This window comes from Homo sapiens, chromosome 1 (genome assembly GCF_000001405.40).
Source record: "Homo sapiens chromosome 1, GRCh38.p14 Primary Assembly".
NCBI lineage: Eukaryota > Metazoa > Chordata > Mammalia > Primates > Hominidae > Homo > Homo sapiens.
The window spans coordinates 205,434,648-205,456,050 of NC_000001.11; the positions used below are offsets into that span (position 1 = coordinate 205,434,648).

The 21,403-nt window shown below is 54.5% G+C and overlaps 2 protein-coding genes and 1 non-coding gene across 6 annotated transcripts in view, besides 8 other annotated features; all 3 read right to left on the reverse strand.

Moving 5' to 3' along the window:
- The window catches only part of LEMD1 (LEM domain containing 1), a 68,589-nt gene extending 53,270 nt beyond the window's left edge, over window positions 1-15,319 (reverse strand). The window contains exon 1 of the mRNA XM_047434586.1: window positions 15,221-15,319. The gene's annotated coding sequence lies outside the window, so the exon portion shown is untranslated. The remainder of the gene's footprint in view (window positions 1-15,220) is intronic.
- Window positions 239-21,398, reverse strand: BLACAT1 (BLACAT1 overlapping LEMD1 locus). 4 transcript variants are annotated; one of them, NM_001397426.2, is made up of 2 exons: window positions 21,270-21,398; window positions 239-6,415 (listed from the first exon to the last, which is right to left on the reverse strand). In NM_001397426.2, exon 2 carries the CDS (start codon window positions 6,377-6,379, stop codon window positions 6,278-6,280), a length of 102 nt encoding a protein of 33 aa, NP_001384355.1. In that variant the 5' UTR covers window positions 6,380-6,415; window positions 21,270-21,398; the 3' UTR covers window positions 239-6,277. The 4 variants fall into 4 exon arrangements, with proteins under 4 accessions (NP_001384355.1, XP_047277145.1, XP_047277146.1 ...); XM_047421189.1 differs by lacking the exon at window positions 21,270-21,398 and adding an exon at window positions 15,221-15,319; XM_047421190.1 differs by lacking the exon at window positions 21,270-21,398 and adding an exon at window positions 10,389-10,498.
- Window positions 3,428-4,009: an enhancer, noted in NCBI's record as "H3K4me1 hESC enhancer chr1:205407203-205407784 (GRCh37/hg19 assembly coordinates)". NCBI's record gives its function as "activates a minimal SCP1, AML or CMV promoter by ChIP-STARR-seq in naive H9 embryonic stem cells {active_cell/tissue: H9 hESC(naive)}" and the evidence as "EXISTENCE:reporter gene assay evidence [ECO:0000049][PMID:30033119]".
- Window positions 5,172-5,751: an enhancer, noted in NCBI's record as "H3K27ac-H3K4me1 hESC enhancer chr1:205408947-205409526 (GRCh37/hg19 assembly coordinates)". NCBI's record gives its function as "activates a minimal SCP1, AML or CMV promoter by ChIP-STARR-seq in primed H9 embryonic stem cells {active_cell/tissue: H9 hESC(primed)}" and the evidence as "EXISTENCE:reporter gene assay evidence [ECO:0000049][PMID:30033119]".
- Window positions 5,752-6,333: an enhancer, noted in NCBI's record as "H3K27ac-H3K4me1 hESC enhancer chr1:205409527-205410108 (GRCh37/hg19 assembly coordinates)". NCBI's record gives its function as "activates a minimal SCP1, AML or CMV promoter by ChIP-STARR-seq in primed H9 embryonic stem cells {active_cell/tissue: H9 hESC(primed)}" and the evidence as "EXISTENCE:reporter gene assay evidence [ECO:0000049][PMID:30033119]".
- Window positions 6,735-6,854: an enhancer, noted in NCBI's record as "active region_2380". NCBI's record gives its function as "activates an Ori minimal core promoter by ATAC-STARR-seq in GM12878 lymphoblastoid cells {active_cell/tissue: GM12878}" and the evidence as "EXISTENCE:reporter gene assay evidence [ECO:0000049][PMID:35858748]".
- Window positions 8,575-9,087: an enhancer, noted in NCBI's record as "H3K27ac-H3K4me1 hESC enhancer chr1:205412350-205412862 (GRCh37/hg19 assembly coordinates)". NCBI's record gives its function as "activates a minimal SCP1, AML or CMV promoter by ChIP-STARR-seq in primed H9 embryonic stem cells {active_cell/tissue: H9 hESC(primed)}" and the evidence as "EXISTENCE:reporter gene assay evidence [ECO:0000049][PMID:30033119]".
- Window positions 10,622-11,133: an enhancer, noted in NCBI's record as "OCT4-NANOG-H3K27ac-H3K4me1 hESC enhancer chr1:205414397-205414908 (GRCh37/hg19 assembly coordinates)". NCBI's record gives its function as "activates a minimal SCP1, AML or CMV promoter by ChIP-STARR-seq in naive H9 embryonic stem cells {active_cell/tissue: H9 hESC(naive)}" and the evidence as "EXISTENCE:reporter gene assay evidence [ECO:0000049][PMID:30033119]".
- Window positions 11,134-11,645: an enhancer, noted in NCBI's record as "H3K27ac-H3K4me1 hESC enhancer chr1:205414909-205415420 (GRCh37/hg19 assembly coordinates)". NCBI's record gives its function as "activates a minimal SCP1, AML or CMV promoter by ChIP-STARR-seq in naive H9 embryonic stem cells {active_cell/tissue: H9 hESC(naive)}" and the evidence as "EXISTENCE:reporter gene assay evidence [ECO:0000049][PMID:30033119]".
- MIR135B (microRNA 135b) lies at window positions 13,655-13,751 on the reverse strand. Its single transcript, NR_029893.1, has one exon. It is a non-coding gene; the product is annotated as a microRNA 135b (primary transcript).
- Window positions 15,336-15,545: a silencer, noted in NCBI's record as "silent region_1740". NCBI's record gives its function as "represses an Ori minimal core promoter by ATAC-STARR-seq in GM12878 lymphoblastoid cells {active_cell/tissue: GM12878}" and the evidence as "EXISTENCE:reporter gene assay evidence [ECO:0000049][PMID:35858748]".
- Window positions 21,399-21,403: the final 5 nt, after the last annotated feature.

Sequence of the window (21,403 nt, forward strand, 5' to 3'; positions counted from 1 at the left end):
AACGGAGGCTCACGGAGTTCCAGGAGACCTGGGGTGTCTCCCAAAGCCTCCTTCTTGGCCCCAACACCTCACTTTATGTCCATACTCCTGACTCTTCCCCCCAGTCTCCATTCTCCCTCCTCTCAGCAGATTTGATGGAAACAAATGTTTAGCTTCTGCTGCTGCAGTGTATCACAGTGCAAAATAAACACGGATGCCCCTTCTACCCTGACAACATAATCCATTTACTGCAAAGGGATATAATAAAGTCTGTTTATTACAGCAATTAACAGAGCAGCGTTTGCCGGCATGCTTTTCAGTGGCAACCAGAAAAGTGCTTACTCCAGGTGCATAGATTCGGGAAACCATGCAACTTGAGCCAAAATGAAACCAATTAGAGGCTTAGTAAATGGGTTCCAGCCACCCCAGGAAACTTAACCATCCACGAGTCAGTTCAGCCGAGGAAGAACCTCAGTGCAGGAGTTTAGCATGATATAGATTGCTACTTTACAGAATTAATCCAGACCTGTCGCCAGGGTTGTGGTCTTGAGGACGTGAAATGTATCCGCCCAACACAGCCACCCAGGTGCTGGGTTCAAATCTCGATAAACTACATAGGGGTATATAGGTGGGGAACGTTAGCACCATTGACTCTCAGGGGTCTCTTGCCACTGCCATGGAGGTGGGGACATAAGGAGAGGACTAGAAGCTGGGCCAGAGGGAACAGACAGAGAAAGAACAGAAATCCTTTCATTAGACCCTGTCTTCAAGAGCCTGGATTGAAATGTGGCCATCTTGAGTAGGGGTGAGGAGGAATCTACTTTTCAGCCTGGAGAATATATGCTATTTTGCTTTAGGCAGAAAGACTGGACAAAGACATGAAGCCATTTGTTCCGGTTCTTTGGTGGAGGGACAGAAGAAAGGGAAGTACTGGTTTCAATTCCCCAGTGAATCTGATTGCTAATTAACCAAATTTAATTATCTATCCCCTTTTAGGAGGGCAGGGGTTGGCTTATACCACCAACAGGACATTCTTCAGAATGAAGTTTAATTTTCCCAAGAAGGGAAGTGGCTGCAGTGTCATACCTGTGTAGGAAAAAATCCATCCTGATTGGCAGCTCTTTTCCAGTCTCTCAGGGAGACCATGCAGAGTTTTGATCTAGAAAACATAAACCTGGGTGCCTGAGCCAGGTAGAAAACCAAAGGCTCAAAAGGGCAGAGACAAACCCCTGTTAAACAGTTCCCCCTGGCTGAGGGGTGACCTTAGGGGTTCCCCTTTTCTCCATCACTTTTTCCCATCCTCAGGCCTCTGGGAGAAGATGCTGTGTTAAAGGATGAGGGCAGAAACCAGCCTGGCCTCTCTGGAACAGAGAAAGTTAGAGCTTTGAGCATCATGAACAACGGGATAAAAATAGCAGTGTTGCCATGGCAACAGAGGCTGGGAGAGTCCTGAGGATCTGTCTGGGTCCTGCCATCTCCCCCTCCTGCCTTCCTCCCGCCCCTCAGATGGAACACGGGAATGAGCTGAAGGAGGAGAGACGGCTGCCCCAGAAGGGAAAGAGACAGACCAGCAGCCCACGAGGAAAACCCTTGAACTCCAGACCTGGGGGGTGGTTTCTGTCAGCTCCTGAGCTGCCCAGGTCTGGGAGCTCTTGGCTTTGGCAATTTCTTCCTCAGTATGACGACTTCCTCCAGGGATGCCCTGGGCAGCTACCGCTCACCCTCCTGGTGGATGGTTCTGACCTCCTGGGCTCCTCCGTGAAGAGTCAAGGTTCCTGTTTCTTCTTCATGATCTATAGTTCCTATCCCATGGAAATTTAGAGAAGCGAACCCAGGCGGACTGGCCACAATAACCCCGGCACAGTGGGCACTGACCACTCCAGGGATGGCCTGGGGTCCAGAGGATTCACCCTGACAAGGCAGATACCCTTGTCAGCAATATGGACTTGGGGGGCTGTGTTTGTGTTGGGAGCAGGGTGATGATGGTGACAGCTCTCTCTTGCTCTTGCTTTTGGGTCAGAGAGATAGAACATTCATTCCTTGGGAACAGATTCTGTTTCTTGGTTCTTGTGGTACTGTCAGCTTGATCACCTGCTGGACATAGCAGCCACCTTCAGGAGGAACACCAGACTTCCTGGACCAGCCTGCAAGGAGCCCACTGAACTCAGCAGCCCAGAGATTTTCTTCTCTGGTGAAAGCCCACCTTTGCAGTTGTGAACCAAGTATCTGTCTCCAAAAGTTCCAGCCACATCTGGGCACATCTGATAAGTGTGCCCTTTATAATGCGTGCCTTCCTGTGAGGTAGGGAGGAAATGGGACTCATCGCCACCTGTTATGGAGGAGGCTGGGAGAGAGGAGGCAATTTGCCAAGGTCAGGAGTCAGTCATGGCAGAACACTGGGGGGCTGTGGCTCTCCATCCAGAAACAATCACCAGCACATTCCACCACCAGCACATCTCCAGCCACTGGGCAAAATGCATATTCAGTCTGTAGACAGGACAAACTCCAGCCTGAGGCACTTCCCCTTGCAGAAGGCAAGGAATGAGGTGGGGTGGTTTGATCAGCATGGAGATGAGCACATGAGGAGCTGTGCAAAGGGAAGCCCATGGGTTACATAACTGGAGCAGAGCGCCAGTCCTTGAGATCTCTTCTAGAATCACTTGAGCATCTATCTGCAGGTGGTTGTGGTGGTGGTGGTGGTGATGCTGTGTGTATGTGACAGAGAGAAAGTGAGAACGTACATAAGAGTGGCGCCTGTGATGGCCTAGACAGGACCTGGAGTCAGAGTCTAGGCCAACTGACTTACTCCCCTTGGGCCTGGCTGTAGGAGGGAAGAGAGGCAGAACTGCAAGGAGTCCTGGGCCCTGGCTAGGGGAAGATTCTAGCAGAAGCTCTGGGTGACTTGCCTTTCCCTCTCACTCCCCCTCTCACTTCTCAGAGCCACCATACCACTTCCATCCACCCTCCAGATATGTCTGTTGTCTGCACGGAGTGCATCTGTGAGGGCAGAGGAAACCTGCGACCCTCTGGTTCCACAACCCTATGCCCCACTGAGGCTCAACTTCCCAGACTCACAGAGCCCTGGACTCCAAAGGAGACTTAAGAGGAAATTTATGTAATCCCCTATTTATAGTTGAGGAACCTGAGTCTCAGAAATAAGACATGACTAGTCTAAGGTCACATAGGTCATTAGTTTCCAAGCAGGGCTAGAAGCCAGGAGACCTGGCTCCCAGCTCAGTGCTCCTTGCATCCCACTCTAACACTTCATGTGTATTTCAGTTAGTTAATTATTGCTCTTTTTTTTTCCTAAAAATAACAATCTCCCTATATATTTCTATGAACCCATATGCTACATGCAAAAAGCCCTTCCCTGGGAGCAGAGAAGGAAATGACATTCTGATAAAAAGGTTTCAACCTGAGACAAGAAGCCCCTTGGGTCCTGTGGGCCAGGGTCCTAGGCAACACTCAAGTCACAAGGACCCCAAGCACCCTTCACACTTCTTGATCTTCCATTCAGCAGCCTGAAGCCCAAGAGGGAAAATGGCCATGGGAAGTCCTCGCTTTACAGATGGGGAAAACTGGCCCCCTCACCCATCTGCAAGGAGGAATCAGTGCCACGCAGCAAGAACAAGAGGCCTGATCTCCTCCACAGAATCATCTACCCATGTGCCCCTCCCTCACCCCAAGAGCTCAGGGCCCCCACCTCAAGGTGGAGTCTCTGGGAGAGAACCATGGAGAGAGGATGGGAAGGCAGGGCAGCCAGGCCAACCCTAGAAGGAGCAGAAGCCTGGCCCGAAGTCAGAGGCCCAGGGCGCAGGGTCTGCGAATGCTGGGGCTGCTTTGGCCTTTCCCTATTCCCTGGGCTCATCCAAGGGCCTAGAGGAGGGCACAGGTGTCCAGACTGCTTCCTGAGATGCTAAAAGGAGCAAAGTCCCCATTTTCCTGAGAAGGAAACTGAGGGACAATAGAATGTGGGGTTGGGGTGTGCCTGGCTAGAAGCTGCTACCTCCTGCTCAGACAATTCCAGCTGCAGTGCTGGCCCCAACCTCAGCCCTGGGTGAAGAAGGGGCTGCCGGCTTGGAGGCAGAGGACAACTGGACCTCCACTCAGAACACTTTGACCTTGGGACCCCACCCATGTTCCCAAAGCCAGGGCTCAAGATATCTAGTATCCCTCTGGAGCCAAGGGAGTTCTCCCGGGGGAGGAAGCTCTCTGGATGGGCTCACTGCCAAACCCCTGCAGCTGCAATCCCTGCCAAGGCCTGAGAGGCGCACAAGGGGAAAGCTCTCCTCGGCCACCCGCTCCCCAGGACGTACTTTCTCCACTTTCCTAACCTTTCCTCCTGGTGAGCCTGTGTGGTCAGGACATAACACCCAATATCTCTGAGTCTCCGGGGATACAATTTCATCCTCTGCCACAGAAGTGACTTTTCTAGGATTGCAGCCTCGCAGGTGACCGCTAGGGAAACACATGCCCTCCAGGAGGCTCTCTGGCCTCTGTATCAAGGTAACTTTTTCTGCCCATCTCTTTGCCTCACCCAAGGCCTCTACTATCCAAGAGGACAAAGAACCAGGGAGTTTTTCTTCTGTCCTTTGTGACCCCACTGGCCTTTATTGCTGAATCTTGCTGTTCCCTTGAGGGAAGGACTTCTGTTTATAATTCTTTGGATATAAAAGGAAATAACAGATTGTAGAAGGTGGGGGCTAGGAGGTAGGGGCAAAGGAAGGGGTTGGAGGATGGGAGGAGGAACTCAAGCTGTGCTCAAGCCTCATAAAGACAACCTGAATCCCACCCAATCTGCCCAAAGCCCAGGAAAGGCCCCTGAGTGTGGGCATGAGCTGGGCAGGCAGAGGCTGCCAGCATAGAATGTGCCCTTGCTTCTCCCAGGTTTTGGGCGAACCAGCCGAGGAAGACTTTTGCCCTCCCTAGTTGCCCAGAGAGGCCCACATTCCAAGGAAAGGGGAGCCCTGACTCTCCTATCTTGGGGCCTTGCCCTCTCTACCCAGGTCACCTGTTTACCTGTCAGAAGGGCTATTCTGTCCCTGGGGAGCTAGAGGGGGTCTGACTTTGCTCCTTGGCTGAGCTGCTCCCTGATGAGGGAGAACAGGCTTACAGAATCTGCCTGAAGCATCTCTGCTGCTGGCATTCGTCTCTGCCTGTCTTCTAGCCCCGGAGAACTCCAGGATTAAAGACAAAAGGCTAAGTTATACCAAAATGAAGGGAGAGAGGAAGGAAGGAAGAAGGAAAGAGGGAAGGAAATGCTTTTTTCTTTTGCTTCCTACCTCCTGGAAATGGGCTGGGGGTAAGGGCAGAGGCTGAAGCTGGAAGGTTGGCGGGGGTGGGGGATGAGGGAAAAAGTCGAGGAAGGTCCTAGAGGTCCCCCCACCCTAAGAGTTTCCACTGAAGGCACCACATATGAACGCAGTCCCCTCTATGGCTTCTGAGGAGAGAAGAAAAAGGCAGGGGAGACAGGAGAATCAAGGGAGGGCACGGCTCAGTCCAGGAAAGGGGTCCCTCAGTCTGGCCACGGCAAGACAGTCCCTGAGGAGGGGAGTCAGGGCCTGGGGAACAGGCCTCCCCACATCTGTGATGCTGGCAAGGAGGCACAGGCATCATGAACACGGGTGGGTCAGGGCCGGGGCTGGAGGAAACACTGCTTTCTGGAGAGCAAGAACAGAGGGAGCCACGGAGCCACTGGCCACCTCTGCCTTCCTCCTCACTGGGCTGGCCACCTCAGGCCTGGCCCCACCTGGCCCAGGAGGATGCTGGCAGGGGGCTGGAAAAGGATTCTTGCCCCAGGTCCTGGAATCCCAGGAGAGTCTCACACTTCCGCCCTGGAGGCCTTCTCCAGGGTCAGGGCTGCTGGAAGTTCTCTGCTAGAGCAGCCAGTTTCCCATTTAGCAACAGCTCTCCTAGCCCAAGGCGGCACATGCCTCATGCGGTTACCCTGAGAAGAGTCCCCCGAAGCTCTCAGGGCAGGAAAGAAGTTTCACTCCTTGGCCTCCCTGGGGCTTCTCAGTCTCTGGAAGGCATGCGGCAGGTCCTGGGGTTCCCCCTTGTGTGGCTGGGGCCTCTCTCCAAGGAGGTCTGAGAATTGGAAGCTAATGGGTGTGGGCATGAGGAGGATGAGAGGCACACAGGAGGCTGATGCCCTCGGGTGAGAGTCAGGCTGAGAAGAGCACTGGCTAAATCAAGACTTAAGATACACACACGGCTTCCTGCTCCAAGCCCCAGCCAGAAGCAGGCACCATCAGGCCTGGGACCTGCTGGGGGCTTGATGGAGGGGCCCTGGTTCTGATCACACCGCCGTCTCCCGCTCTCTGTGAACTTCCTCCTTCTTCCTCTTCATTTTGCAGAAGCCGTGGAGACCACAGAAGCAGGCGAAAGTGAACTGGGGCATGCCCTACGCCAGGCTGGGGGAACACTCACCAGAGATCTGCAGGGAAAGGCAGGGGAGGGAGAGGGGGCAGGAGAAAGGCAGGAAGAGAGAAGCAAGCTGGGGTTAATGCTCCCAGAACCCTCTGGGTCTGGCCCAGTCATTGCCACTCCCTGAGGCGGCCCGCTAGGTCTCTCACACCGGCTGGGGGAGGAGTCAAGCCTCTAAACAACAGCTCTTTGAAACCTCAGTGTTTCCTGATCTGTGTGGAGCTGATGTCATTCCTCACATTGGAGACAGGGTGAGTCCAAGGGAGGAAAGAGAATGCCCAGCTGCTGCCTCCTTTTTTCCCCTCCCACCCGCTCTGCCCCACCTCATCACCATATACCTGTGGTTGGGGAACAGGAAGCAAGCTGGCTTAAAATAGCCTCCGGCTTGTGCCACCTTACACCAGGTTCTAGCTGGGGGCTTCCACTCGCTTCTGCAGGTTGCACACACGACAGGCCCTCCTCCATCCAAATGCGGACCCCTTCATCCAGTGTAGCTTTACTTTGACACCTGGGACCGAGTCAGATTCCTCCCTTCCTTAACAACCCCAAGTTGTCTGACACCCTAGGAAAGCCTATAGGGAGCAATTATACCCTTCCTTTGACTGCTCAGGGCAATGCAAATCCCATCCTCACCATGCAGAGAAGAGACAGCAAAGAGGGTTCTTTTAGCCAACAGGCTCTTTTATTTAGCACCTATGCTGGGCAAAGGGTTGAGAGGTAGATACAAAAGGGTAAAGACATGGTTTCTTCCCTGGCACATAAGTCTGAGGTAGAGGCTGAGGCTGGATCTGCCCCAGCTGGACACGCTGTCCCCCACCTCTGGCTGACCCGGCCCTCAGCAGGAGCCAGGGGCCGCTCTGGTATCTGTTGCAGTCTGGCTGGGGAAGAGAGGGAGCTTCAGGAGCTCAGCTTCAGTCTGCAAGAGTATCCCTTTCTCCAAAGGCTCATTTAGGTTTCCCTAGCCTTAACCACCTGCAGATTTTTCCAGTTCACCTCTCTGCCCTTCCTCTGCCCCTGGGCCTATGGAAAGGGAGCAGAAGTGCACTCAAGCCACTCAAGCGGAGAAGCTGAGAACAAAGGAAGGAAAGCGCCCTGCGTGGAGGTCAGGCCGGGGCCTGGTCTGAATCACTCCTCTCTCCAGGAAGAACATGGGGGCAAGCAGGTGAGTGAAGCCCAAGTGCTGCGGGGAAGGAGGGAGGCACAGGGCTATGCGGAAGGGGTTTGGAATAGGGAAGCATGAGGCGCCTCCCTTCTCCAGCCCCTCAAGCAATAGAGATTGCATAGGATGTCCTGGGTTACCCCAGCAAGGCACATGTGCAAAGTGGTTTCACTGCCTTTGAGGAATGTGGCATGGCCCAGATGGTGGCTCTCTGGACAGTTCCACTGGTCTGGACAACCTTGCCCTTTTGGAAAAACTTCCTTCGTGTTTCTCCAGACAGAGCCAAGGCCCACACCAAGCACAGTGCCCGGTGGATCCAAGTCCTGTCAAGATTCTCCCCTCCCTCAGCCTCTCAGCGTCCCGGTAATACAGCTAATAGCTGTAATTAATAGGTGCAATGCATTTCCACTGGCCAGCTGGATGGGCAGGAGGCCCAGCTTGAGTCAGCATGGGTAGGTAGGCTGGTTATTTAATAACCCGATTTCCAGCATCATTTACACACCCACTCTGGTGGAGTATATATAGTTAGCAGAGAGCAACCTCCAGGATATATATAGAGCCAAGACACAACTACTATATTTCTAGATCTATCCCCTGCAGCTATCTCTGGATCCCTCCTGTGACAAACCTAGAGAGAGACGGGGATCCAATCTGGGACTTAGGTGGCCTGGGTTCTATTCCTGGCTCTGATGCTAACATGCTGTGTCATCCTAAGCAAGTGGCTACATCTCTCTGGGCCTTCATTACCTCATTTCAGTGTACCAGGAGATTAGGCAAGATTTAACACTAAGACCCCAAACCTAAGGGGCTGGAATCCTAACTTGATCCGGAAGGAGGGAGGGAGGGCAGGTGGATTCCCGTGTAATCAGTTATTGTCACACGTGCACTTCTCTTGCTGGGGATATAAGTCAAGGGTATGATCAACAAAGCAGTCCCATGATTATTGAAAAATACATGGGGAGAAATTGACAGGCACAACAAGGCTAATCTGGGAAGGAACTCCCAACTAAAACAAGCCAGGCAGGTAGCAGCCCCACAAACAGGTCAAGGTGCAGCTCAGGGTCTCTGGCCCCAGAGTGCATCGATCCCCTTTCCTTTTCACCCCACTTCCTTTTCAATGACTGTTCTTTCTTAAAAACAGCAGAATATACCCCCTTAAATGACCCGTTCCTCCCCAGGGTCCTTTGGGGAATTTAAGAAAATCCTGGCTTTTTTTGCTCAGCTTGTCACTGTAGGGAAGGATGGGGAGTGAGGTCACAGGAACCAGAACCTACACATCAGAGGAAAGGAGAGCTAATGAAGCTGGCCAGGAGCTGGGCTAGGGGCTGTAGCCTGGCTCCCGAGAGGTGTTCGAGGGCTGGCTGCCTCAGTGGGATTCCTGGGTCCTTGTATCTAAGAGTAGAAAGTATCATAAACAGGGCCTGGTTATTCTGCTCAGATCTTTGCTCTAAAGTGCTCTGGTTATCCTTCCTCTTCTCTAACAGGGTCTCTAAAAGGGTCCTCACTGTAAGGTGCACAACTCCATGCCCCGGAGGCTGCCTGGGCTCTGTCTGCAGCATGCAGATTGCCGGGCCAGCCCCTGAAGTGGGGGGACATGGGGCAGAGAATTCCAACCCATTTCCGTATCCCTGCCCGCTGTGAACCCCACTCCTCCCTCAGAGTCCCCAGCAGCAGGTACCTGGGGAGTCCCTCTGCCAGGCTGTGGTCTCTGCTCCTCTCTGCTTTGCTCGAGCAGGAGTCCTGTCGACTCTCTTCCCTGACTTTACCCCTTCACCCTTGGCAGAGGGCTCCAGTACCAGCTGGAGGCTCCCTGAAGTCAGGTCCCCTTGCTGCGTCTATTTGAGGGGGAGGAGTCTGGACTAGCACCTGGGTCCACTCCCCACTCATCAGAGCTCATCATGGGAACTCCCCTCCCATCCTCCCCCTCCTTTTCCATGCCCATAGTCCAGGAGGGACTAAGGAATGGAAAAACAGCCCCCAGAAAAACAGAAGCCCAGAATAGGATGGAGAGGCAGGGTGGACACTGGACAAACCTCCTGCTACCACACAGTTGGCTGCATCTGACTGCAAGCTGTTGGCCCTGGCTTCTTCCCCATCCTCCTCTCTGGCTTTTTCCCAGCTCAGGTCCAAGATGGTTTACGGTCTGGGGGCACAGACGATGCCCTGCCCAGCCAGCTTTGTGGGAGCCAAGCAGAAGAGATGCCAATCCATAGAGCATCCGTCCTCCCCCACCACTAGGAGGTTCCTCGGCCTCCCTGCTGATCCTTTCCCTTGGCCTGACCCCCACATCTCTCTGTGCCAGATACTCTCCTGGGGTCCTCCAACCCTTGCACCTCTGGCAAAAATGGGGCAGTGAGTCAGAGACAGCATGAACATGTGGAAGAACCAAGAGAAAGAGGAGACTCAGAGCAGGCCAGAAAGTAAGATAAAGAGAAATCCAGGGCCCCAGGCTTGCAGACCACAAACTCCTAGGTGTCTCGAATTTTGGCAATGTCCTTCATCAGAGTGGGCGGCAGCGGGGGTGGAAGGCTAGGAAGCTATTTAAAAGTGCTGGGGCATGCCAGCAATTCTCTGATAAACAAGAAGAGGGATATTGCGCCCCCCACGACCCATCCCTTCATCTCCCAAGGCAGAGAGCAGAGGCACTCTCAGCAAGGCAACCCCCACCTTAACTCCCCGCCACCCCCCACCCCAGGTAAAGGGCAAAAGAGAAGTGACCCAGTAAGGAGGGTGTGCCCTCGACGCCTCTAGAACAAAGCTGAGCCCTCCGCCCCCTCCCCGGCTCCCTTAGCACCGCGTCTCAGTAATTAAAATATGAATTCACCTTCCCTCCCTGAGCCATTCATCACTGCGAAGGGAAGCAGCTGCGGCTTAGGAGACCGGATTTGGGGGATTAGCTCGGGCGGTGGAGCAGACACACCAGGAGAAAGAATTAAAAACGAAGGGGGTGAATTGGGTTTTCTCTCCCCACCTCCTCCCTCTCCCTCTCCCTCTGGCCGCCACGGAGCCTCCTTCCCCACCCCTTCCCCCAAAGCCTAGCCTCTGCAGGTTTCTGGGAACTGTAGTCTACAAGACCGTGTTGATAAACAGGCAGGCCAGGGGTGGGTGGTGGCACAAACTACAGATCCCAGGACTTCTTCCCGGAGTTGGCACCAGCAAAACTGGGCACAGACCTCCAGTCTGGGAGAAGCCCGCATTCTCCTTGGAGGTTAACTCCTTCTTGGCCTGCTTGAGCCTGAGCTCTAGCCTCTGGCTCACCGAGCTCTCTGGAATCACAGGCCAAGGCCTCTGCCTCCAATGGCCTTCAGAGACCACAGACCCTAGCTTGCCAGACCAGCCACCCTTGTATCTTGCTTGCCCACCTATGGAGAAAGCTCCCTCCACTTTTCCAGACTGCAAGGGCAGCCAAGCATTCTCAGTGGTTCTGAGATTCTTGGGAGCTGGAGAGGTCAGAGCAGCAATAGTCCTGAAATGTCTTTGTGGCCTGCACTCAGTGTTTTCCAGCCTGGCTCGGCAGAGGCTGGCCCACCGTAAGAGTGGGCAACGTGACAGGCAGCAGCAGCTGGGAACCTGGTGGACCAGACTGTCAGCGCCAGAATGAACCCCAAAGGTCAAACTTTAGTGTCAAACTTTCGAAAGATGGGGAGAGAGACTTTTTTTCCCCAATAGTCTTTATATTTAGGAAGGAGTAGGGCTTAGTAGTCAAACTCTATTTCCACTAAAAATGGAACAAATACAATAAGAGAGAGTCATCTGAATTCAGTGTTGTTAAACATGGGCCCACTCTCGCAAGGGAGGCCTTATGCTGGGTATATCTGAGGACTGTAAAAAAGACTTAGATTGCTGGGAATAAAGTTTCAGCCGTCTGCAGGCAGGGGACAGGACACACACAGCCCTCTGATCTGTGAATCCTCCAGGGAGAAGGGACATGAGGGCAACTTGCTTATTCAATGCAATTGAACAATCATGTGAAATATACAATCACATATCTTCTCCAGGCCTGTCCCATTGGCAGTAGCCAAGAGACAAAGAATAGAATGGAGATCCACCTTTGTAACCCCCAGAAGCAATCCAGGCCCAGCCCCAGCAAAGCGAGGACTGTCTCGGGTGAGTTGCTGAGCTGTGGGCTTGCTCTATGTCCCTGCTGGTGGCAACTTACCTCTTTTACCCCATCCATCTTTTCTCCCAGTTCGTACTTCATTCAACAAACATTTACTCAGCCATCCCTACAAAGTCCCTTGCCTTGCTAGAGCTTTACAGAGGTATAATCTCTGGAATGGCTCATCTGTACCCTTCCTCCTAGGCTGAGCCCAGTGCTGGGGACTACCCGGGCAAACTGAACAACAGGATTCCCGGGAGGGGCCCAGTTGCAGGGGGCAGGAAGGTGGCATGGCTCTAACCTGGCTTTCCAGTTAGGAGATCAGGAGTTAAGGGAAGGAAATCAGGTGCCTGGACAGCCTCAGAGCAGGGTAGGGAACAGGATAGGCTCACTGTGGGCCCAGGGCAGCTGGACAATGAGGGAGGTGGAGGAAGGTGCCAGCCATCTCTGAACTCTGGGTGAGAGAACCCAGAGGGCAAGTAAGAAACCCTGGCCAATTCTCATGCCTTGTTCCTTTCACCATCTAAGCTGGGGCAGGAGGGGAAGTAGCCTGGATCAGCCCCAGCAAAAACCCAGCTGGCTTGGGATTTCTCTTTGCTTCTCCTATTGTTCTGATCCCCCCGCTCCCCCCGACCTCCTGTGGGAAAAGGAAAACCAGTGATGGACAAAGGGTGATTGGAGTTGGGCCACGGGGCCAATTTGTGGACGTGCATCCAATAGAGATCTCGTGAGAACAACCTCCCGTCTGGGTACAGCACTCCCTGGTTTTCAGAGTACTTTCCCATGCACTGGTGTTGGCTCTCCCAATATGCAGCATGATGTGCTAAGAGCATGGGTTTTGGCACCAGACCACGTGGGTTCACGTCCCAGTTGTGCTCCTTCCTATCCATATGAACGTGGGCCAATTTCTTAGCTCCCTGTGCCTCAGAATTCCCATAAGTTAAATAGGCTAACAGTAGACAGGACTGTCTTGAGGATGAAATGGGTTAGTGCAGGTGAGGCGGTTAGAATCATGGGGTACATAGTAGGTACCCAGTAAGTGTTGGTTGGTGAAATTAAGGGCTCTGAGATATTATAAGAAACTTGCCTTCTGATTGTCAATACCAAATCTAGTGCTTTCTGTGATTCTTCAGTGGTCTGTCTTAGACAGACTGGGGACTGGAACAGGGAGTAGGAGGCGGGGTACGAGGATGCTTCCTCTTCCACCACAGCCACCTGTTGGAATCTTCCAGGATGGGAGGGCTAAAATCAGGCCGATTTAAAAGGGGGCAGGGGAAGGAATGTGGGAGTGGCGACAGGCATAGGGAGGAGCCAGGCAAGCTGAGTGACAAGCAGGACGGGGGCAGGGAGGGCTGGTGCCCTTCACACACCGCAGGAGGGGGCAGCTCCTGGAGATGGTAGCACACCAGGAGCCAGGGACCCTGGAGTCCAGCCTGTCGCCCGGGGGAGCGCCTGCCTTCCTAGTTTCACTCTGCAGACACCTCCTCTTCCCTCGTGGCCGGCATGGAGTGTTCCCATTTCAGCCTCAGAAAGAGCCCAGAGGTCTCCTTACACAGAAAAAAGGCTGCAGATTCCAAGCTGACCTCAGAGAAAGGAGTGAAGGAGTGAGGTTTTCCTGGAGGCACTGAGCAAAGGCCCAAGTCTTCATGGCCTGAGGCCCTTGACTTCAGCCCCCAAATCTCTGGCCATAAGCCAGGCCTCAGTAATTTGGCAAGGGGGAAGGAACCGACTCAGAAAGCTCAGCACACCCTGAAGGTCTCCTTCCTTCCTCAGAGGGAATCTCCCTCTGGAATCACCGGCCCAGTCTCTTCATTCCAGAGTGAGGAAACAGGGCCAGAAGGGAAGTGACTGGGCCAAGGTCACACGGCTTAGCCCCGATCCCAGGTTACCAGATCCCGTGATGCCCCACCCCCAAGCAAAGCCTCCTTCTGGTGCCCCTTGGTGGCTGGCTCCGAACCTGGTCCCATGGGAGGTGCAGCTGCGCAGGAGAAGGAGCTCGCCCCTCACTGTAGCCCATGGCTTTTAGCCCTACATGAGTTTGGGACAGCAATCACATAGGAATGAAAAGCCATAGGCCACAGCAGAGTGGAGGGGTCCAGCGGCAGGAATCTCATAGGGAAGCGAGAAGCTGGGGCACCCGAGAAGCCCTCACTCCCCTTCTCAGCACCCCCGACCCCAGACCCACCCACACTGCCTCCCTCCAGGACTGGGCCCCCCAGGTTAAATTCTCTCACCATCTTCCACCACCTGCACTAAAGCCATCCCAGTAATGAGTTTCCAGTTCTTGCCCTACAAAGGCCTCACACAATGGTCCTCACTCCAGGGTATGAGGAGGGGTGGCTTCCTGGCCATAAAGGACCTCCTCAAATTCCCTTAATTAGCTTCCAGCCCCCTGCCCAGGGTCCTTAACTACCCCTTCCCTAGAGAATAAGGCCGGATCTTTTCAAGGCTGCTGCTGCCAGTACCCAGGATGGGGGGCCCCAGGTTAGGCTCCCTCTTTACAAAGCTTAACTCTTTCTAGTCCAGCCACTGGAAGCACAGAGGGCAAAGGAGGGTCTGGGTAAAGGAGGGCAGCGATGAGGACCTACCCTTTGTTTAGAGGGGTTAAATAGGTTTCTTGAGTGCCCCCAGGGGTGGGGGCTGGGCCAACCTACCCAGACCAGTCTGGGTGGTTACCGACAACACCCATTCTTGCATAGTTTAGAGGAGAGTGAGATCTCTGTCTCCAGACCTGGTTGGAGTCAGAAAGAGGGCTTCAGCTGAAACCTCCCCAAGCTGAGGGCAGCTCACTCTGGAGCCATCCCTGACAAGGCTGTGGGAGGGGTGCGCAGTGCCCTGCCGCTCTCATTGGCAGGACATGGGGGTTAGCACAGACATCTCTAGGACTGGATTGAAGAGCTGAGTTAAGGCGAACCAAGGTCTCAGGGCCCTGGAAAAGGTGTGTTCTAATCACAAGTGCTATTTCCCCACCCGCTCCCATGACGGGTCAGCTGCAGGCATCAGCTTCAGAGAAGTGGGCTTCTAGGGCTCCTGCTAGCCCAGGCTCAGGAAAGCCCCAGGGGCCTCAGACCTCTCCCAGGGGCCCCCAAGAAGATGGTAAGAGGCCCCAGGCCCAGATCAGGCCCTGCCTCTGCCAGGGAGTAGCTGCCTCTCCCACCCCAACTGTACCCTCAGCCCCAGGGCAACACTTGCTGGCTCCCTGCACAACCCTGGTAGAAGCAACCTGTTTTCACTGGACAGGAATCCTGCATTCCCCAACAACAGCACAGCACAGCACAGCACACAGCACACAGCACAGCACAGCACGCCCCTCCACACACTCCAGACATGCCCAACCTTCAGGGCCAAACAACCAGGCATCCTGCGGCCTCCCACCTGAACTTTGGGCCATCTGCCCCAGCCCCAACCCCCTCTGGTTCTCCTTTCCTTCCTCTCTCATGGGCCCCCAGAACCCCAGACCCAGGCCCTGCATAAAGCCATGGACTCTAGGCAGAATGCCCTCAGCTCCCTCCCAAGGGATGCTGGGCCAGGGGCTGGGGGTCCCAGGGGCTGCTCACCTGGCGGACTCAACAAGGCCCCCTTTCCCTCGCAGTCCGCCTCACAATTCCCCGCAGAGCCACTTCCTGCCTTCCAGGCAGCCACTCACTCCTCCACTCACCCCGAGAAGCTCCACGCCCCAGCGAGGGCAGGCCTCCTCCCTCCCCCTGCCCGCCCACCACCGGCCAGGGCTGAGCTGTACCCAACTCAACTTGACTCACTTGTGACCGGCCCCTCCCCCAGCCCTGAGGACGGTGGGGGTGGGGGTGGGGGCGGGCTGGGCAGGCGGGGCAGCCAGGTATTCCTTCAACCCTGACTTGGGCCTGAGTAACAAAGGTCTCATTGAGCCTCTGGCTGTCTGGTCGGTGAAGCACAAACCTCTTGTATCTACTGGCTTTTGATCTCACTCCCTCTGAACCAGCCATGTATTACTCACGTCCCCCTGCCGGGCTATTGGTGCAGAGGGGCTGTTTGGTCCCTCCCTCCCTCCCCATCTCCTTTCTCTCCTTCCTTCCCCTGCCGCTCCCCTCCAGCTTTTTTATAGTTTAATTTTTGGCAGGAGACCTGAGACGGCTCCCTGCAGGCCCCCCTCTCCTGCCTGGCCCCCCTCCCCTTCTCCGCAGCCCTGGTTCCTCTCCTCACCCATACCCCTATTCTGCTCCCACCACTCCCCTGCCCTGGGAGGACAAGGTCAGCACTTATCTGTCCTTCCATTTCCTTTCTCAGACCTGCTCGAGCCTGGCCCCCTCCACCCACCCTCACCCAGTCCTGCGCTCGGATTCCCAGCCATAGCCTGCCAATCCCAGCTGCCTATCCCTGGGCACATGAAGGGCTCAGCCCCTGGCCTGCCTACCAATCCCAGCCCACCTGACAAGCCCCAAGTAAGCTGTGGAAGTAGGGCATCTCTCTCTAAGGTGTGTCTGGGCCAGAGGGACTGGGCTGGGGATGGAGGTGGGGACAGCCATCATGTCTCAGGCTGGAGTGAACCTCACTTGAAATATGGAGAAAGAGGAAGCAGGTCAAGCCTCACCTCCTTTCCCGAGGAAAACCCTGCTTCCTCCAATCCCGAGAACCTGGGCAGTGAAAGGCCACTGCTGGGCGAGAACCTCGAGGACTCCCTCTCCTCAAGATGGGGCCATGCCCACGATTCCTGTCTCCTCTGGGGCCACCACAACCTTTCTGCAGCTTGCTGGTGGTGAGAACTGGGGCCCAGCAGCCCAAGGGGCCCAAGGGATATCCACTGTGTATAAGGGCCACCTCACAGGGCCACTGGAACATTTTCTCTTTAGCTTCCCCTGGCTCTGTCCCCCAGGATCCCTTTCCTCCCTTTCCTCCTTGGCCACTCCAGGGAGAGAGGCAGTCACCTTTGAGGTCTGAGCTCTCCCCAGAAATGCCAACAGATGCTAAGAATTCCCATGGTGGCCAATTCTAGAGCCTTGCCCATCCCCCACACCTACCACCAGTGGCCTCCTCTCCACTTCAGGAGTTTCCACCCCTCCCTAGCCCTCAGGTACTCCCATTCAGCCGGATTTGGGAAACTTCTGCCCCAACAGAGGCCCCATTCTTCCTGCCGCAGGCTCCCATTGTCCCTCATGACTCCACACATTCTTGGGCCTCTGATGAGAAGTGGAGACAGCCACCCGCCCTGCTTGCCTGCCCTTGCTGTCAGCACAGCCTGGGCCCTGCCGCCTGTGGCAGGAGTTGGGGGGAGTGGTCGGGGGGGTAACCAAGAGGGAATAAAAGGAGGTGGGAGACAAAACAGGAGTGAGGGGGAGATGGAACTGAGAGACACAGAATGGAGACACTGAGAGAAATTGTGAAGAAGAGGACAGAGGTGATAGCAGATGGAAATGCAGAAGAAACTCAATGGGAGAAAAAAGGCGAGAAGGGGAAAAGCAACTTTTTTTTTTTAGTGAAAACTGTGTCATGCATCTAGGTCCCCCTTAATGATCATCTTTCAGTAACACAAATATTTATTATTATTATTCCCATTGGGTAGATGAGAAAACTGAGGTTGATGGAGGCTACAACTTGCCTGGATGGGCATTTTTTGCTCTTAGAGGAGAGGGTAGGAGAAGCCTGAGAGAGAGAAAGCAGAGAGCCAGAAAAGAAGAATGCTGACAAAGAGAAACTGGAGGCAGAGGTGGAGCACAGGCAGAACCGGAGGCAGCAGGGAGAGATGAGGGGGCCTGGGGCAAGAGGCGGAGGGAGGGCTGGGGAGAAGAGACCTCAGGTGTCCCTGGCCTGATTGGCTGGTGGGTGTGCCCTCCCCTCCTCTGTAGTAACAAGTCCCTTAATCTTAGTGCAAGCTGCAGAAGCCAGGTCCAGCATGAAAACTAAAGCCTGTTTCACTGGGGAGCAGGCTGCAGCAACTCCCTTTTTAGGGAGCCCCCAGTCCCACCATTTCCTTCAAGGGCACACAGTCACCACCCTGGACCTCAGCCCACATCAGGGCACTGGTTGGAGATGGCTCTGGTTGAGGCTAAGCCAGGAGGAGAACTCCTTTGCCAGAAAAGTGAACCATTACCCCTCCGCAGCAGAGAAAGTCACAGAGGGAAGGGCCAGGGGGGCAAACTGGGCTCAGTCCAAGAAAGGAAAGAAGTAGGACTGTTCCAACAGGAGCCAGTGGGCTCCCTGTCACCAGAGATCATCAAACATAGGGTGCACAGCCACTTCTCAGACCCACTGCCTGGCACACAGTAGCTGCTCAATAAATGGTAAGCTAATGTAGAAGGGATCCTTGCATCTGGAATTAAGTTAGACAGATAAAACCTAAGGTCCCAACAACTCCAAAATTTCATGAGTCTACGTTGGAGCTTACTCATCCTCTCAGAGCCTTTCATAGACTTATGTACCCTTTGCAGGGACTTAGAGCTCAGCAGACCTGCCTTTGCCTATGGTGGAAGGGAACCAGGACATTAGGAAGATACTAAATAAAAGCCACTTGCTTTTACCACCCCACATATACTCCAATCCAAAAAGACTAAATCAGAAGCATTTCACATTATTCTATGGATGTTGGCTGAATGGTATAGGTATACATTCAATGAATGAATGAATGGCTGATAAAGCTTGGAAACAAGAGCAAGAGATCTAAGCTCTCCTGTATTTCAGGCTTGGTGTGTGCTTGGAGCTCCCTTATGCCTGTCCCCTCAGGGAAGAGAGTCCCTGGGCTGGAACAGGTTATGGGGTGTGAGTGGGCAGCAAAGCCTGGAAATCTAATTCCACTCACATGGGGGTGGGAAGGCACTGCTGAAACTTCAGAGAGCCTCAGGGGATCTGATTCTGCTATCTGCCCCAAACAAGCCTGCAGATTCGGAGTTGTGGTTGAGACGGATCTGTGGGTGCAGTCCCTGGCCCAGAACCAACGCACGAGAAGGCTAGTTTCATGAAGATGGACCCAGCAGGCTCCCACATACATTGTCCTCCAGACCTGCACTAGACCAGCAGTGTGCTTGCTACGGAGAAAGGCCACTAGGTAGCCTTTCCCCATGACTCCGGTCCCCTCTGCTCCGAGGTCCCATCTCTACTCCAAAGGATGGACAGCTCAGGTTCCCTCTCATTTAACAGCTTGGGAGCCCCCAGCCCCCTGAGGTAAAGTGGGGTGGGCACTGCTCCACTGAGCAGGAAAGCACAATTTTTCCCCCAAGGGCTTTCTCTAGTTGTTCCAGGAGCCTCAGTTCTGAGACTTCCCAGGCAAACAGAGGGAGGTCCTAGCCTGGCAGCCCTGGGTTCTTAGGGAAGGGAGAGACGGGAGACCTGGCAATAGTCCCAGGCAATGAAGATAGCAAGAGACCCAGGGGCAGGAGAGCAAACACGGGCAGAAGCTGGGGGAGTCTCCGCAGCCTGGGTACCCCCAGCCTCTGCATCTGATCTCCAATAAGCTCCAAGGTTGGGCTGTGGGAGGGAGGACACAGGGAGGTTCTTGTGTTACAAGAATCTAGCCTCCCCAAGTCCAGGACCCAGGCCACAGTTTTGCCTCTCAGCCAATAAAGCTGTTAAAGAAAAATATAAGAATGGGTCATTGGCAAACTCACATGCATTTCAACCTGAGCAATTTATGAATATCGAAATGTCTCAGTGTCTGCCCAAGCACTATTCCTGCCCCCACCCCTTTTCTTCCATGCCCCTCCTCAACCCCCATGGGGTGATGGTGCCCCAGCCCAAAGAACTATGGAACTGGGCTCTCCCAAGCCCCTGTGGAGTACCTCTTGGAGGAGGAGGCAGACAGAGATGAAGGGTGGGGAGAATGGCTTCAGGGACACCACTCATTTATCAAATATGCACCGAGCACAGACAGTGGGATGGGCACCGTGCTAGGCACCAGGAGACAGCACTCAGGGAGGCCCAGCAGGCAGTCCAGTGGGAAGACAGGCCCATATGCATATGACTGCAATTCAGAGCAGTCACGTCAGCAGGACTGTGGTCTCCCCTGCCACCCAGTCTTCATGTCACCTCTTCCAGGGTTACACTGAATTTGATCCTCCCTAGTTGAGGGTCTCTCCTTCCTCTTCATGCCTTTAGGATGGTAGTCCCCAGCTCTGAGACTCCTGGATGTTCTCTTTGTGTGTGTGGGGTGCGTGGGATGGGGGTGGGGGGTGGTGGTGTATGGGCAATGGGAGGGGCCCTGAGTCTCAGAGAGTGCCCAATACTACTTGGAGGAAGTGTTATCTGGTGTGAGTGTGTGTGTGTGTGTGTGTGTGAGAGAGAGAGAGAGAGATCCTCTTTTCCTGCCTCTGTGGCAGCCCCAGTGGAGCAATGGAAAGCCGGCATTGAATGACTGAGAGATAGAAGTTGTTTGCAGCCCCAGGCCTCCGTTGTGTCCTCCTGGAGGGCATAAGCCACCAAAATTACCCCTAAAGGGGGTTTCTTAGAGGACAATCCCTTTCCCCTCAATTCAGAGCTCTTTCACCAGGGGTTCCCATCCCAGCCTCAAAAGAGCTGACTTTTCCTCCAAAGTTAGCCCTTCTTAAGGCTCAAGTTGAGAAAAGTTGTTCACTGGCAGATTAAGGTATGTAAAAAAAAAAAAATCGTCAGGAAAGATTAAATCAGACCAAAAGAAGAATTTGTTAATGAGGGTTGAGGAAAGGAAGGCAGTATACAAGCACTTCCAAACGGAGGCTGTGGAATGTTGGTCGGAAGGGAGGGCTCTCCCTTGGGCCCCCAGACGCCCTCTCCTGACCAGCTCAGCACTGGCAGGGCTGGCCAGCTCTTGTTCCCCGGGGGCACCCTGTTATGGACCCTTTCTCAGGAAAGGGAGCACCTATCCTTGTCTAGCTGCCTTCCTGGGCCCCTACCCGGCCAGAGCTCCTCCTCCAGGTGGGCTCCTAGCTCCGGCCTTTCTTAGGCATGCAAGGGCCCCAGGGATGGGGAGGCAGTGGGAGGCAGGCTTATGGCCAAGAGGTCTGGCCAGACCTAGACCCCACAGACACAATGGCTAGGAAGGACTCTGATGTGTGTGGGGAGTAGCTGGTGTCTCCTCTAAGCCTGGGACCATGTTTGCCTCCACATATACTGGAGTTGGTGGTTTGGCCCACGGACATGGCTTCTCCCAGGCCCCAAACTGGGGTCTCCTGGGGCCCTCTGTTCCAAGGGTACCAGACAAACATATGCACAGGTGTCACAAACCCCTGATCCCTAACCCCTTTACAGCCCCTTCCTCATACCACTCCATACCATGGGGTATAAAGGAAACGGAGGAGGCACTCCAAGCGGGTTTCACTCAGCGGGGACAGGAGGATCGGCTACCTCCGGAGCCAAGGCTCCCTCTCACACTCCCCCCAATCCCACCAGCGGCAAAATCCTTTAAAAGGAACAAAGGCAATGGGGGCGGGGAGGGGGCTTCCTCTTTGGTCGACCTAGGGCGGCGGCTGACGCAGCCCGCCGCCGGTCAGCTTTCAGGTGAGTGCCTGAACCCGCATCCCGCCCATGCCTTAGGGACCCCTCTTCGCCCAGCCAAGCCCGGGGCGGGGAGGAAAGTCCCCCTCAGCCGCACTCGGGCCCCCAACCCGGCCAAGGGGTCGCCAACTCGCGGCACTTTCTGCCTGTTTGTTTTCGCTCAGTACTCACAGTTTAGATGCTAAGCCGGCTCCTCTTGCACTCACTTCCTTTGTGTCTCTCTCTCTCTTTCTCTCTCTCTCCCCCTCACCAATCTCTTTCTTCCCTCCTTGTCCGATTCTCTGCTGTAGCTTCCAGTGGAGAAA

What these genes read in the sequence shown, in the direction of transcription:
- BLACAT1 (NM_001397426.2), bottom strand. Translation starts at nt 6,379, where the DNA reads ATGCCCCAGTTCACTTTCGCCTGCTTCTGTGGTCTCCACGGCTTCTGC.